Source organism: Homo sapiens, chromosome 3, assembly GCF_000001405.40.
Source record: "Homo sapiens chromosome 3, GRCh38.p14 Primary Assembly".
NCBI lineage: Eukaryota > Metazoa > Chordata > Mammalia > Primates > Hominidae > Homo > Homo sapiens.
The window spans coordinates 1,181,911-1,199,373 of NC_000003.12; the positions used below are offsets into that span (position 1 = coordinate 1,181,911).

The following is a 17,463-nucleotide window of genomic DNA, read 5'->3' on the forward strand; positions in this document are numbered from 1 at the left end:
ATCATAAAATACCTCCTCTGCCTATCATCGCTCTGACAACGTCACTGCCAAACCCCTATCCTCATACACTCATCACAGAACATCTCTTCATTTTGTTCAGAAACTGTGCTTTTTTTTCTTAATCGTTCTGCTTTTCAAAGCTTTATTCTTTCTAGGCATTCAATATATATTGAATAATTTCAAGGTATTTTTATATTCATTCATTCTACTAATATTTTCTTAACTATTTTCAGCTACTCTTCTAAACATCTTGTTCAGGAATTGTGGAAGAATCTACTCACTGTTTTGTCCCAATATCCAAGGGAGAAAAATAAAACTAGCTCAACATCCCTGTGCATGAACTTTTAGTAACTTTATTTCCCCACTAGAACTGGAATCTGATGATGAGCATCTTTGTTCTCCAGATTTCAAGGAGGTACTCCAGGTAGCTGACTTTCCACAGAGCCCTAGAAAGTAAATCATGGAGGTGAGGATACTGTTCTCTGAAATTAATATAGAACTATAGTTACTTGGTAGTTTATCTTGAGCAAGTCTTGTTAATTCTACTGTAATTCAAAATGGTAGTATCATCCTAGGAAAGGATGACAAACATGTAGTTATAGTGAGTATTCTCTTGGTTTAAATCACAGCATTAATCGGCATTCTGTATTAAGAAAAAGGCAATCATTTGCCCACATTCTCCTTTTCCTTAGTTTTTTTTTTTTAATTTTTAGCTTCAGAAATGTAACTCATATACAAAGTACGCCTATAGTTATACCATGTATCACACATTTCATATGAGTAAAAGAACAGAAAATTGATGAAACATGCCTGAATGCTTGTGATATAAAATTATATTTCAGTTCCAGCTATAAAAGTGTAATACAATTGAAATGTTTATCATGCATCTATGAATATTTTTTCTTGCATGCATAATGGTGTTGCATGAACAATTTAATTTCTTTTTTGAAAAAAGTCATCCTAGAGAGGTCTATTCTATACCTTTTCGACAGATTCATCTAAAGACCAGCTCTATAAATGTCCAGATTGAATGCATAAAATGTATTGTCTCAAGTGATTATTGTTTAAAAAAATTTAACTGTATTGTTAACTTACTGAAAAGCACTGGCATAATTCCGCAGGCATGGCCTCTTTTCTTCTTATCTTCATGTGTGTGCTAATGTTGTGATCTTTTTAAAATGCCAAGATGAACTGTCCGGTATACGAAGATAAAAGATTTTAAAGGCAACGCATAATGCCACTGAATTCCTATTGAAATTTACAGTTTTCAAAGAAATAGTATTCATTCTAACATCAAAATTATTGTCAGAAAAATATAAACATAGTAAAATAAAAGGCACCTGTGAATCCGAAGCTATCATGGTTCAAACTCTTCTATGAAAACACAATGGCACTCAAAGACTTACTATGGCTTAATATCTATTATTAATCAATTAGTATTTTTCATTGTATGAAAAATTTATAACTAAAATTTTAAATTTAAAAAGAAATGGATTGATTAGAGGCCAGGTAATCAGGCTCTTGGCCATGACCATATTTTTTTTTTTCAGTATTAGTTAAGTACCAAAGTATTTCACAAAGTCCAGTATTCAATTGATTGCACAATACACAACTAGATTTCATATTTTTGTAATCCTTGGCATTACTTATTTTCTGCACATTCTGGACACATTCCTACATTTTTATTTAAATGGCTTTTACATCTTATAAAAAGAGTACTTTTTGGATTCAAATCCCTTATTCCATTTCTGGCAACCTTCCAAGAGAACTCTAGTCTGAATCATTGCATTGATTTTCTGTTGCTGTATAATAATATTACCACAATCATAGTGGCTTCAAAAAAAAACACATTTATTATGTCACCTTTTCTGTGAGTCAGTAGTCTGGGCACAGCTCATCTGAGTTTTTGCTTCAAGTTCTCATCCGAAAGCTACAACCAAGGGGTCACTCATGACTGGGTTGTCATGCGATGACTCGACTAGGGAAGGGCCTGCTTTCAAACTCATTTGGTTGTTGGTAGAACTCAGTTACTGATTGTTGGATTGAGGGCCTCCATTCCTAGCTGGCTAGCGGCTGAAGGCCATTTTCAGTTCCTTGCAATTAGGGCCTTTCCTACACAGATGCTTGCTTCATTACAGTGTGCAATTTGAGTAGGTAGTAGAGATACTCTCTCACAAGATGGAAGGTATAATCTTATGTACCTGGTCATGGAAGTGATATCTGTCCCATTTTCTGTGTTTTATTGGTTAGAAATAAGGCACAGGTTCCACCTACACTCAAAAACAAGGGATGTAACAGGGATATGAATGCCACGAGGCTGGATCACTGGGGGTCATCCTAGGATCTTCCCAGCACACTTTTTTTGTTTTACATTTGGTAGTTTGGTAATTTTTCCAAATGAATACTATAAAAGTGTAATAGAAGAAGTAGTATATGTCATTGAATGTAGTTCTAACCCAGAAATTACAGTGAAGGTAACGCTCATATGATAGGATGGGCAGTTTCATTATTATTTGTCTTGCCTGTTACCAAGCATTCTAATGATGTTTCATTGAGAAGACTGTTCTTTGAGATTAGTATGTATCATAAAAATGCCTCTCTTTAACTAAATTGTGGATATTTGTCTATGAAGTTCAGGTATTTGTTTTCATAATAGGCTGTATTTGAAGGACACAAAAATTTATATAAAAATACTAAACAAACTGAAGCCCAAATTTGTTACTAGTTCTAGTGCACCACCATGACATATTGATTACACTGAAATACAATAATGACTCTCAATATGGACATCTGAAAATTAATAATAACTATTTGATTGTCCTAGGAAATGATCTGGATAGCTAAATATAGTCTGACTGAAACTTACGTAGCCCAGGCATTAAGTACATATTTGAATGGGCAAATCTTATGAAATAATGCATTATTTACTAGAACATTTTCCCTACTGGTATTTTCTACTAGAAGTCCAAATTAGGGAATCATATGAGGATATAAAATTAATTCAAATATATAAAAATATTTTGGCTGTGTTTACAGCATTAGGAACAAGCTGTACTCATTCTAGCATTACGTTAATGTACACTTGGTAGGCATTAGAGGAATAAACAGTTCTAACTACAAGAAACAGTAAAAAATAAGATATATATACTCATAAGTCTTCTCATTCTGTTAAGAGCAGTTAGTAAAGAATTATTTCTAAAATTTGTGAAATAATTATTGCTCATAAAATTTTTAGCTAATAAGAAACTTCAGATGGTTCAGAAGGTAATAGAATATGTCCTATTTGGTTCAGGAAACTTAAAATTCCTTCTCCTTAAAAGTGTTGGATTAAGGCGTTTCATAATTTTTGAAAAATTTTGTATTTATTGGCAGTGGTTTTTACACTTAGAGATTCTTATTTCTTCCACAGTGAAATTGTTTATTTAAAAAAGATGTTTCTAAAATATGTGAAGAGAAAAAATAGTGCAAAATATTCACTTTGATACCAAGAAGAGCTTTGATTATACAGATACTCTAAAAAGGTATTAAGAACCTCCAGGGGTTCCATTTCCACAGTTTGATAACCACTGCATTAGCACAAATCCTTGGAAGTATGAAACACTTTGTCTGTGTTTGGTATAAAGGCCACTGAATGTGCTAATCTATGTGACCTTGGCATGTAGTCAGCATCTGTTAATAGATTTCAGGATATAAATGAGATAGTGCATGTAATGTACTTACAACAATTAATGACACAATAAATATTATGTGTTAGAAAAGCTACATGTAGCATAGTAATTGAGAGTACGGACTGAAGACTGCATTGGTTCAAATCCTTGCTGTGCCCCTCTGTAAGCTTGAATAAATTATTTAATCCCTGTACCTCACTTTTCCCCTTTGTAACATTGAGTTATTAGTAATAACAACTTGTGAGTATTATATAAATGAAAAACACAGTGCGTTGATCACATTAAACACTATGTAATTTAAAAGATCATTGTAAATTATTTAGTTCCTAGAGACAGATGTATTCTTAATACATTTTAGGCCTTTGTTACTTTCAGTCATTTAACAAATATCAATTAATTCACCTACTACATCCAAAACAATTCACCAAACAGTATGAAGAATACAAAAGGGAATATAAATGTGATTTTTGTGATGGAAGTGTTTATTGTTTAATATAGAATATAATATATTCACATATAAGTAGCATATGGAAGAAAACGAAAGACAGCACAAGAAATTAAATTCTCAGAGAAGAGAAAAAAAGTAACTTCTATGTATTTATGAAAGTCATTTTAAGAAGTATTCAGAAGGTTGTTAGAATTGAGTCACAGAGATGGCTGATGTTACCAAGGGTTACTTATCATTGGAAAAGAGATTCATAGGTACATGTTTAAATATGGAAATCTTTCATATCTTCAGACGTTATCGTCAGCTCAAACCCGATTTTCACAGATGGCTTCACACACTGCAACTACTCTCTCATAATTACTTATGAGAGAAAATGACCTGTTTCCCTTTGGCCATTTTGAGAAACTTTCAGGAAAAAAAAAAATCTTTAATTTAGAATAACTTAAATATTGGGCCTTACAGATTGACTGGCAAAGTCAAATCCAAATGCAAGTTATTTCACTACTCTGCATCCCACTTAGGTGTTTTTCTTTCGTGAATTATTTCCTGGGAGTTAGGGCTCTTTCATCTTTTATTTGCAAAGTGAAAAGCAAAATTGACTCATCTTAACTTCTAATTTAGCTTTCTGAATCGGAAAGACAACCTGAAAGTGGCTGTGGGGAGGAGCGCTGCTTGGTCTAGCTGGCTGGAGACCTTTTACAGTGTGGATGGAGCCCCTTTCTCAATGGTTAAGTGGCTGCCACACTCAGTAGCCTTTCTGAAGTCGCTTGGTCCCATTCTTTTTATTTTTTTCTTTTTTTAATAAAGGGGTTAAAAGAAAAAAAAAAAGAGGTAAGATAAACTGCCCTTGACAGTATGATTCCTTTCCCTTCCCTCTGCCCAAATACAGATAGAAAGGAAGTCTTTCCATCTATATAAAGGCCTATTTCATGTTACCAAAGAGGAAAAGAGAAGTTGAGAAATGCAGCCAATTAGGAGAAATGAGAGCAAAACAGGTAGTACCTCCGTGTGTCCTAGCAAATGGCCCAACACGAGGATTTTTACCTATTTTATCCACATAGAATGGCTTGCGAAAAGCCTTTGTTGTTGTTGTTTTTACAATTCATAGACTTCCCACTGATAAATTCCAATGGTCGATTTTCCCCTTAAAGTGAAAACCTTCCTTTGGGAGGCAAGCAACTCAAAAAAAACTGCCTGATGCGTAATGAAGTATGTTTTTTGTAACCCACACCAGTTCTATCCATACATACTTTTTTTTTTTCTTTCTGACACCTTCACCTCCTGCCTTACGTTCCTTTGAGCTATGGAAGCCAATGAGGATGAAATAATTAAAGTTTGTGCCTGCTGTACAAAAATCATTCTCCATAGGCTCTGTTTTTATTTGATCTTTTGTAGAAAACATAGCGTCTTTATGTACACAGTTATAGGCCCATGGTGTCAGGCTACAAAGGCTTCATTTCCTGCTATCCAGAGTCCTGGTGTTATTCTCCAAGCATAAATTCTGTAGTTTCCCTCCTCTAGCCCAGCAGGTGTCTGGGTTTCATTTTTGGTTGTTACAGTTTTCATAGGGAGGCTGGGGTGGTCTGAAGTGTCACAGCAGGGATCCAGCATTGCCCCTACCCAAAATTTGCTACATAATTTGTGAGGCCAAGGGAAAAATGCAAACGCAGGACCTCTTGTTCATAAATCATTAAGTGGGTGTTTTTAAACACAGTGTGCTGTGAAGCCACACAGGTCAGATGCCCAAGAAGCTGGCTCTGCCCCTACTGTGCCAGTGCCTCCTGGGCACATGGATGGCAGGGACCCTGTGTGTTGCCCTTCTGTGAAACAAGAAGTCTGTATGGTTGGTTGGGCACCGTATGGTTGGTTGGGCAGTCTGTTCTTTCCTGTGCACTTCCTGTACCTCCTATGGTGGTCCACACCTCGAAAGCCCCACACTGCACCACCTTCCTTGGAGGACAACTCTATTAAATTCTGCACACCCGCTACCCCTGCCAAATCTTACTCTTTTTTTTCTATTTAAATGCCATTTATTCACACCCCCTGCAAATACATACATGCAAAATCCTTCATAATGACCCAATGATGCAAGCAAATAGTCAAGCAATGCTTAATAGCAATTGAAAAACCATATCCCCACCTCAAGGGTAGAGAGGACTGAAGTCTTTATGAACTCAATGGCTAGTCTGCATCCCCAGAACTGGAGGGGAATGCTTGCATTTCTTCATTTAAGACTTCTCCCCTCCTCCTTTCCAGAATGAACTGAAAGAATTCTTACAAGGCACCACCTCTTATAACCCTGTCCCCCAAAAGGAGATTTTTATATTCAAAAACATTGTACATTCATGTATTAAGGCTTTTAGAATTAGCAAGGACTTTAACTCTTTGGAATTTGCAGAAGTTGATAATGCAATTATATTTTTTAAAAGTTTACATTGTAATTGCTTTAGAAAAAAAATTAGTGATACTGCATATACGGAATTAGCCAAGCCTGTGTACACTTGCTGTTTCTGTGGTCTCCATGGACTGGAATTTGGTTAAAAAGGCAAGTTTATCAATTGAGGTTTTTAAAAATGCCTGCTCTTTCAACAAACCCAACAATAAATAATGAAAAATAATTAACACTGTAATATCAAAAGTGAATATTGCCAAGGACAAAGATAAATGATAGCCAAAAATACAGTGAAAAATCTCAATTTAAATATAGGAAAAGAGAACTTGGCTTCTAGAGAACAGCAGGTTTCCTCCCAAGCCTATGCTGAGTAATATGATATGAAATTGTTACCACTGCTTTTCTATTAGAAATCTTCCAATTCAGTTTTCTTTATTGACCCAATTCCCTGGTGTTTAGGGCTAGGCTGCTTTTTTCTGTACACATGTGTGATTGCTTATCCGTCTAGCCTAGGCTTGAGTTATTTTATTTGATTGGTAACACAGACCTGGCAGAAGCTTCACCTTTGGCATGCAGATGTCCACAGGTGATGTGAAAAGAGATTGAAAAAGGCATTTGCTGATAAAAACAAAACAAAACAAAACAAAACAAAAAAAACAAGCTCAGCATGATTTGATTGCCATCTAGCTACAAAGTGTAGCTAGAATTGATACAGTAGGCCAGAAATTATAATTATATCCGCCTTACAATTTCAGAACAGCCATGTGACCCAAGTTTATAATTGTTGGTGCCATAAGAGACAAAATAGCTGAGTAAACCACTCCTACAATGTTTTTGAATATAAAAATCTCCTTTTGGGGGAAAGGGTTATAAGAGGTGGTGCCTTGTAAGAAGTCTTTCAGTTCATTCTGGAAAGGAGGAGGGGAGAAGTCTTAAATGAAGAAATGCATTTATACAAAACATTATACATTGTACATTCATGTATTAAGGCTTTTAGAATTAGCAAGGACTTTAACTCTTTGGAATTTGCAGAAGTTGATAACGCAATTATATTTTTTAAAAGTTTGTCCAATTCCTTCCTGAATCCTTTAAAGTGCTTACCACATTCACTTGTACATCCTGAATAGACTTAGTATTTGTTTAATAAAGGGATATATGAAATAATTTTGGACTGTTAGAGCCAGAACTTTAGATTATATATACCTTGACTGGTATTACATTGCCTCCTTCATGTCGACTCCATTTCATTATCTGTGGATGCTTGCATTTAGTACTAACTGCAATGAGAAGCCTTTGAGGCCACATCTGAACCCAATGGGAAAGAATCCTGTGATTGAATAGTAATGTCTGCCAAACCCAAGGAAGAGAAAAAAATGCCACCATCTCTACTATAAAGTGACTCTCCTCCACCAGAATGTGTTCCATCCCCTCTTTTTACAGGCAAACAAATTGGGGATCAGAGTGGCAAAGCATTCTATTGCATATCACAAAATTAGTAGCAAAATGATGATATGAATTTAGGTTCTCAGACTCTGGTTGTATTAGTCAGCTCAGTCTGCCATAACAAAATACCACAGACTGGCTGTCTTAAAGAACAGACATTTACTTCTCACAGTCCTGGCAGCTGGAAGTTTGAGACCAGGGTGCCAACGCAGTGAATCTGGTAAGGGCTCTCATTGATTTGCAGACGGCAGCCTTCTCACTGCATCCTCACATGGCCTTTCCTGTGTGTTTGCACAGGAGAAAGGGAGAGAGAAAGAGAGGGGAGTGGGAGAAAGGTCTCTGATGTCTCTTTTTATAAGCGCACTATCCCATTCATGAGGAATTCACCCTCATGACCTCATCTAAACCTAGTTACTCCTAAAGTCCCCACCTCCAAATACCGTCACATCGGGGGTTAGGAATTCAACAAATACATTTTAAGAGCACATAACCATTCGGTCTATAACGTTAGTCACATGCACTTTATATGTCACAATGTCTCTTCTCCTATTAGGCTGACTCTAGTTCTCTTTTTACTGAAACCGCCTTGCTTTTTGTATCATCGTTTTAGGCTTGGAGAATTCTAAACAGCCTCTAGGAAATATACATGGTTGAGTTGTTTGACAGGTTATGAACACATTGTGATCAAATGCAGTGACTGTTTATAAAATGGGTGCCTTGCAGAGGAGAGTTTAAGCAAAGTTTAAGAATTGGGAAAATCCTTAATCACATCTCTACAGAAAGAAAAAAAGCTGTAAGAGAAAGCAGAATGGTACAGGAAATACTCCTCAGAGAACAGCGGTGAGGGAGGGATAATATGAACTACCTATAAAATATGCTCTTGACCAACCATATATCACCTTCAGCCTGTTCTTTTTGACGCGTGACTCACTATCTAGGGATCCCCTTCTGTTGGCTCACTTGGCAGCCTCTGAGATTAGTTTTCCCAAAGCAATTTATTACCCAGGTGGTGGGTACATGTTACATAAGTCCAAAAGTCATTTCTCACCACTTTTCTTGTCTTCCTTTTATTATTCTTTTAAAATATATGCTACTTCTACTTCATTATTTTCAACCATCTCAGAGCATGTTGAAAGTATTGACATGTACTTTCAGCATGAGGAAAGGAAGTTACTGCAGATAACATAAGAAGAAATATGTGTTTAGTCTCTGTCCCTGGTTCTAATACTGAGCTCCTAAAACTCTTACAATTTCCTTAGTGATGAGTGCTATGAGCATCTTTTGTCCTAGTATTTGTTTTTTGTCCCTGGTTCCTGACACAGAACTCTGGAGCTCCTGATTCCAGAGCTTGGAATTTCCTGGATCATAGGAGTGTCATTTGTTCTAATGATGTGACTCATGGTGGGCTCCTGGATAGCTTCAGAATGGGAGCTGGCCACTGGAAAGCCCAAGCTGTTAGTAGAAGCTTGGAACTTTCAGTCCCGTCTCCCATCCTCCAGGAAGGGGAGATTAGGTTAATAATTAATAATGTCTATGTGATGAAGCCTCAACACCAGTCCCTAGCCTATGAGGTTTGGAAAGTTTCTGGGTTACAAATGCATCCATGTGCCAGGTGGGTGGTGCACCCCAACTCCACAGGGACAGAATCTCCTGCACATAGGACCCTTCTGGATCTCTCCCTAGGTACCTTTTCAGCCAGCTGTTTATTCGTATCTTTGTAAAAACCTGTAAATGTGACTAAGGTTACAGCAAATTATCTCATCCTAGAGGGAACTGTTGAAACTCCTAATTTGTAGCCAAGTTGAGCAGAAGTGTGGACACCCTGGGTACCCAATACTTGCAACTGGCACCTGAAATGGAGGGTGTTCTTGTGGGATTGAACTCCTAACCTGTGGGGGCTACACTTACTCTAGGTAGTTTAGTGTCAGAATTGAATTAAATTGTAGGACACATCCAATTGGCATTTGCAGAGAACTGGAGAATTACTTGCTGTAAAAGAAAACCCCATACATGTAATGTCAAAAGTGTTGTGAGTAGAATAACAGCTTTCTTTTACTCTAAATTATAATTTTTTGAAAAATCACTGTTACAGTTCACATTCTGATCACAATAATAGGTAAGCAGAGCCTCATTTTGACACCTACCTACTTTATTGCGGTGCCGTGCTCTAGTATTTAGTCTGTATCTCAAATAACTCTTCAATCTGCCTCGTCCTTTTGATCCTTTTAGGTCAGTCCTTCATTATCTCCTGTTAGAAGTCTCCTAATTTTCTAATGGATAAGCTCATCTAGTGGATAACAATGGGATAATATTCAAAATTCTTACATGGCCAGAAAGCCTTCATTGATTCTTTTCTGTAGGGTACCACCAATTCTCACTTTTCTGAAGTGCTTATCTTTCCCAAGGCACTAGGATTTTAATTTCTCTACATCTTTTTTACTTGCTAGTGCCTCTTCCTAGAATTTCTTCCCTTACCGTGTATTTCTAGCAAGCTACTACTAATCTTTCAAAACTTAAAATTAATATCTTCTGGCCAGGAAGCTATTTCCTGTCTAGCATTCTGGTTGCAGGAAACTGGAGCCCACATGGACCATACTATACATTATTTGCAGCATTTGTAGGCAAAGGTGCCTCATTTGCTGCAAATGTATAATGGACCCTGTGCTCATTGAGCTCCATCTTCAGTCTACAGAGTCCAGAACTGCTTTCAGAAGTTCTGTTCTTCTGGAGGTAAATAAATGGAACCTAAGTCCAAAATTATTTATACATTGTCACAGATGCACACCTGCTGCTAGGCCTCACATGTGCACCCCAACAACAAAGATAGCAATGACAACCACACACACACACACACCCCTGTTGTGCTCATATATGTATAAATACACTCATTGTACAGAAAGCCTTAAAACTGCCCTTGAATATGAAAATAAGATATTTCTCTTTTATTTTTGTCCTCCCTTATCCAGCTTAGAATTAGTCTACCTTCAATGCATCCATTATTGCTTCCTCAACTTAGCTCACCCACACAGCAATTAAACTCCACGTATTTGAACAACTCAAAAATTCCATGTGTGCAAGAGGCTAAGTGCATAAGAATCCTAGGGCCTAGATGACAAGAATTACTAAAGAAACGTAGCCCACTCCTTCTCACTCTTTTGCAGTTTTGTATGTTATATGTACATTAGTATGTTACATGTACATTAATTTGCCTGAAGTTGCTGTGTTGGCTTAATGGAACACCATTGCCACCTGCTAGCCATATTGAGCTATTAAAGTCCTGCAATTAACCAAATTAAGCGCAGGTTAACACAATCAGGTTTTGCTGTGCTATTGTTTTAAATAACTTTTACGTATTTAAATTTAGAGTGCACAGTGTGACACAGCTTGCCATTTAATGACTCAGCATGCATACAGTAACCTCAGCTAACCAGCATTAAGTGGAAGTATTATGTCTTGGCACTGAAGAATATAGACTGACATCAAAAATAAGAGTTTCAAGGCTCAGTTCCACCATTTGTTAGTTATATGATCTTTGATAAGTCACTTAACCTGTCTAGACTCACATTATTTAAAAAGGTAAAAATAGAATAATAGTAGTGCCTTCTTCATAGGGTTGATATAACCATTAATGAAATAAGAAATTTGAAATGCTTACGTGATAACTACCATATGGTCACAATCAATGGATGTTCCTGCATATTATTTCTCTAGCGTTATTACACCTTTCTTCTGATTGCCAAATATGTAAATTCAACTGTTTCTCTGGGCCTCCATTTTCTCATGAACTCTATGGTTTAATTTATAAATATGTTCCAATGTAGTTTCATTTGTTTTATAAAATACAGTCCACTACAGGTAGTGCTCCATTTGTTCAACCTTATTTGTATATGATGCAGTCCACTCTGTGAACATCAGATTTCAATCATCATTGCCTTCCCACTGCACTCACTTTTATAAAGTCAAAGCATAATTTATAGTAAATAAAATACAGTGATCTTAAGTGTTCAGATCAATACGTTTTAAGAATTGTATATACCATGAAACTGCCATCCAAAACAAGATATGAAACGTTTTCTTGTATGTAGGAAATGCCTCATGGCTTTTATCTATGTTTTTTTTCCCCAAAGCATGTGTTATCCTTATGCAGGCCCTATGCTAATCTCTGCATCATGTCCATTTTAGTTCACGCAACCAAAGTAGACATGACACATTGCAATTCTGATCACCTCTCTTTTTCTCACAAATCCAGTAGAAATTATAAAGAAGAAAAAGCAACAATTAATCCAGAAATGCTATTTAGTCAATTGAAGATCAACACATTCTAGGTGAGCGCTGCCCCAAGAATGTTTAAAGGGAGAAATCTTTTAAAATAAAATGCAACTATAACATTATTGATATTTTTAAAGGGAGACAACAGGATATCTCTTAGAGAAATGGAAGTACCTGTACAGGGCATCATGTTCTCAGACTCCTCACTTCAGAATCTGATTCTTAGCTCTGTGGACTTGGGAGACTGGGTTTTCTTAGCATTCTCAGAGTGGATCAGATCTTTATGGAGAAAAACTTGCAAAGAAAATTTAGAAAACATTTACATATAAATCAGAAAAATGATATATTTACTTACATTAATATATTAATATGCTAATAATGTATTATTGTAATCTGCTGTTTTCTTTTTTCATTTACCATATACTTACATCTCTTATCTAGGATTCCCTGTTCTCAACCTTTAGTTCATTATCACCCTCCTCTCCTCACAAAGGAGACTTTTGAGACCACTGCCAATGAAATTTTGATACTGCATTTGTATTGTTTATCTGTATATATCTGTTTATGTATTTCTGTGCCTTATACATGGAAAGTAACATTTTCTTTCATTTCTCCCAATACCCCAGAGCCAATTTTCACCTCCTTGGGGGTGATGTCAACTCCATTGAGAACATGTATCTTATTCCTTTTTTCCTGCTACCTGGCAGCATGAGATGTTATATTAATCCTGTCTTTTTATTTTCTGTACTTTTGATGCTTTGACATCTAGGGACTTGCTGACTCTGGAAAGACTGCCCTTTCCAAAGTTAGGCAATTCTTAGAGATTAAAAAAAAAGACTCCCCTTCCAGCATCCTTTTCATATGCCTTTAATAGGCAAATCAAACAATCTACTACCCACATCCCAACCATCTCCTTTACTGATCCTTTACACTCCACGCCAGGTTCAGCTTGTCCTAATTATTCCGGGGCCAGGTTCCAGACAACTAAAGACAGCCTCTGCACCCCAGAATCTGAAGAGATGATCCAACTAGCCATTTCTAAGCCTTCTTACATTGTATTCTTTTCCATGGAAACCTCTATACAGGCTCTTGCCTATGTTTTTCTCCACTTTCTCTGCCTCTAAACTGAGCCTGGTGATTCCTCTGAAACCCTGCATGGTGGGTCCTGCCCCCTCCTCTTGGGACCTGTGAATAATAAACCATCTTTTCAATGGTAATCTTCTCCTGATTTCTTGGGTTCATGATACCTGAATAGTAATAAAACCTAAATTTAAAAATACCTATGTATCAGGGAGTTGGTTGGCCAGTATGGAATATGAATAATCTTGAGAGATATTTGTTAGAGTTTTGATGAAGACTTGTAAATTCCCCCTGTTCCTTAGAAAGAGTGCTGTGAAAACACTACCAAACTCTTGTTCTTTTTACTTTTACTTTTCTTTTCTGGGTCTATACAGACATCTTTATAGTTAATTGACTTTTTAGTAAAGAGTAACTGATTAAACTCATAGCCTTTGTTTAGGCTCCACCTGATTCTGCCTTCTTAGTTTACCTTTTGAATGAAACTGAGTGTCTCCAAACATTTTCAGGCATATATTTATAGTCAACTCTTGTGGCTATTTTGACAGGTGGTTGACCTCATTCATTATGTATTGAATCTTACTATTCTCACCTTTAGTATAATCTTATTTCTACATTTTTGGGACACATCACTGAAACCTTCTGTGTTCCATACGAGACCTGTACCAGATATCTCTGCAGCCAAAGAGAAGTTTTTTTTTTATTTTTATTTTTTCATGAGCTAACACAAGGCTTGCACAAAACTCAGCAGCAAGTAATTCCTTTCTTGTCCAGTATGAAAAAGTGCTGTCTTTGTCATAAAGCAAAAAGAGACAATGAAAGGTTAGGTTCTTATTGCCCCATCTCATTATTGTTAATGCAAAACTAGACTAATTTGCTTGTGGTTATGGAAATACCTCCTTTAACCTTGGTGACTGAATCAGAAAGAATTTGTTTTGGAGATGGGCATTGCTTAACAGCATTTGGCATTTGCTCAGGCTGAGCATTCATCGTGAGAGTAAGAGCCTTCTTTCCTTCTTTAGTGTAGTAATCTCTGCAGAAATATCACATGAAATATGGTGCAGAAAACCTTCAGCATAGTGGCTGGGATAGAGGCAGTGTGCTTTGAGTAAGGCTCTTCAGTTGGGGCCTGCATTTTCTCTGGAGCCAAGATACTTCTGACCTCAGCAAATGGCTTAACTGCTCTGATAAAAAGTGGATGATAATGATAACACTTCCTTCTTTTCAGATCCATAAGAAGAAGAGATTTTTTTGTTTTTGTTTTTGTTTTTGTTTCATCTCCTGCTGTATGCTTGGTCTCTAAAAGTGACTGGCAGAGGGAAGACAATAAATATTTGTTGTTGAATGAATGAAGTGTTATGATGAGGGTTAACTGACATTATAATGCAAAGCTCTTGGACCAAGACCTGACTTATCATAGGCCCTCGAAAGATATTCCTTCCAAAAACAATGACAGCAAAAACAAAATAAATGCTTCATACTCAATAAAGTGTCTGGTGATGGGTTTATAGGAAATTTAGTAATTTTAATATTAAAAACTACCATTTACATCATCTGATTATTTATTCGCCAAATATGTATCAAGCAATCACTAAATACCATGCATTATTGCAGGTCTTGGAGATTTAGAGGTAAACAAAAATAGCCACAAGTAAAAGCTGTCCACCTATAAAACTTTCTGCCCAGCCTAGCGCAGGTTAGAGTTCCCATATGTCTATCAGTGATCAATAGCTGTGGGAGAAGAAACCTGTAGAACACTGAAAAAAATAAAGCATTCAGATCATTAACTTTTTTATTAATCTTTTGCCATTTGTGGATCTGTCAGCTTCTCTAAAACTCTTGAGATACAAAAGCATTATCTCTGAGACAAGAGATAATTCCCAAGCTCTCCTCTTGATTGCCCACGTTTGCCTGAGAGAATTTCTCAACCAGTTGTTTCAGGTTATAGACATAATTGGCTATTAGTCATTGCAGTGCCATTGTTCATTGACATACCTCTCAGCATCATCTCTCACCCATCTGCAAAGCAAGGTCCTGGTTTCTGATTAATCTTTGGCTGGTCATTGAGGATACTGAAGCAGCTCCTGGTTAATTAGACCATTTTGTCTCTAACCTCATCCATTCTCTGGATGTAATAATAGGGATAGAGGTGGCAGCAATTGTAAGCACAGCCCTGAAAACTTGCTAATCGGCCTTTGTGATTTGCCAGGGGTGCCATTGTTTAAATTGTTAAAGCCAAATTGTTGTGAGAGGCAGTAAGTGGGCATTTTTATCTCCAAGTCAATTACACACATTTAGTGAAACCTAAGGAGCTCATAAATTAAAAGTAAATAAGTAAATAGGAAAGCAGCATCTACAACACTTAGTGATGTAAGTCACACACATACACACCACATACAGGGTGATAAAATAGCAAAATGTGCACTTATGTGGAGAGGAAGCCCACGTAGTGATAAGGGGTGAGGGCTCCTGAGTTTACCAGCTGTGTGAACTTGGGCAAGTAACCGCTCTCTGAACCTTCTTATCTGTTAAATGGAAGTAATATTAAAGCCTACAGGGACATCAAAAGGATTAAATTACATTAATATTTTATGTTATTTCATTAAATAAGATTTTATAAACTATCTCAAAGTCTGCTCTATTACGTGTGCTAATTATCTGGTAGTTACTATTATTCTAGAAAAGCATCCTATCCCCCCTAACTCATGCAAAGAAACAATGAACGTTTCCAATACTTCACATTAAAAAAATTACTTTGACAGTATCCACAGGAAATCAGGTAAAAAGCAAAGACAGACAAGCTTAGCTCTTTCCACTGGACTTTGTGAGATGTGTCTAGTTGTACTAGAGTTCAGGCGAGCATTCTAAGAGATGCTGGAGGGCAGAAAATGAAGTGAACTTCATTCTATGAAGCACTTGAGACTTGTCTTTCCCAGTATTTCCCCATCATCTCTCAAAGAACTGCCTATTAATAAAAAACAAACAAAAAAAACTTATTCCTTGGTATGCTACCAAAAAAAATATTCTTCATTCAAGTAAGTTTGGAAACCACTGAGTATTACATTTCCCTGTGAAGAATCATAATCATTATTTTGGTGTTAAAAGGCCTGAGAAATCAGGAAAAGCTCTAATAAAAGGAATAAAAAGAATAGCTTTGAATCCTTTAACCTAATTTTTCAAAAATACCCCACACAACATGTGTTACCACACAAATTGCATTTTGAAAAAATGCTGGCCAGGCACAGTGGCTCATGCCTGTAATCTCAGGGCTTTGGGTGGCCAAGGCAGGTGGATCACCTGAGGTTAGGGATTCGAGACCAACCTGACCAACATGGTGAAACCCGATCTCTACTAAAAATACAAAATTAGCCAGTCATGGGGGTGCATGCTTGTAATCCCTGCTATTCAGGAGGCTGAGGCAGGAGAATTGCTTGAGCCCGGGAGATGGAGTTTGCAGTGAGCCAAGGTTGCAACATTGCACTCCAGCCTGGGCAACAAGAACGAAACTGTCTCAAACAAAAAAAAAAAAGAAAGAAAGAAAAGAAAAAATGCTGAGCTACAACATAGTAGGTTGAAGAGTGTCCTCCAAAGCATCCGCACCCACTCAGAAACTAAGAGTGCGATCTTATTTAGAAACAGAGTCTTCGCATATGTAATTTGTTAAAAATCTTGTAATTTGTTAAAACCTGGATTTTGACTGGGCCTTAAATTCAGTGGCTGATGTCTCTATGAGAAAAGAATAGGACACACAGATTCAGAGAAGATGGTGACGTGAAGATGGAGACAGAGATTGAAATCATGCATCTACAAGTCAAACAATGCCAAGGATTGCTGGCAACCACCAAAAGAAACCAGAACGTCATGGGATGGTTTTTCCTTCAGAGCCTCCAGAAGGAACCAACCCTGCTGACACCTCGGTTTCAGGCTGTAGACTTCTAGACTCCTGAACCATGAGAGACAATATATGCTTTTTTTTTTTTTTTTTTCCTGAGACAAGGTCTCCCTCTGTCACTCAGTCTGGAGAGCAGTGACACCATCACAGCTCTCTGCTGCCTCAGCCACCTCAGGTCCAGGTGATTCTCTCACCTCAGCCTCCCTAGTAGCTGGGACTACAGGTGTATGCCACCATGCCCAGCTAATTTTTGTAATTTTTATAGAGACAGGGT

At 37.0% G+C, this 17,463-nt stretch overlaps 1 protein-coding gene and 1 long non-coding RNA gene across 23 annotated transcripts in view; one reads left to right on the forward strand and one right to left on the reverse strand.

Moving 5' to 3' along the window:
• CNTN6 (contactin 6) overlaps window positions 1-17,463 on the forward strand; it is a 311,194-nt gene that overhangs the window by 88,887 nt on the left and 204,844 nt on the right. The gene's annotated exons all lie outside the window — the stretch shown is intronic.
• On the reverse strand, window positions 334-12,479 carry LOC105376923 (uncharacterized). Its single transcript, XR_940541.4, has 3 exons — window positions 12,395-12,479; window positions 1,096-1,191; window positions 334-446 (listed from the first exon to the last, which is right to left on the reverse strand). It is a non-coding gene; the product is annotated as an uncharacterized LOC105376923 (long non-coding RNA).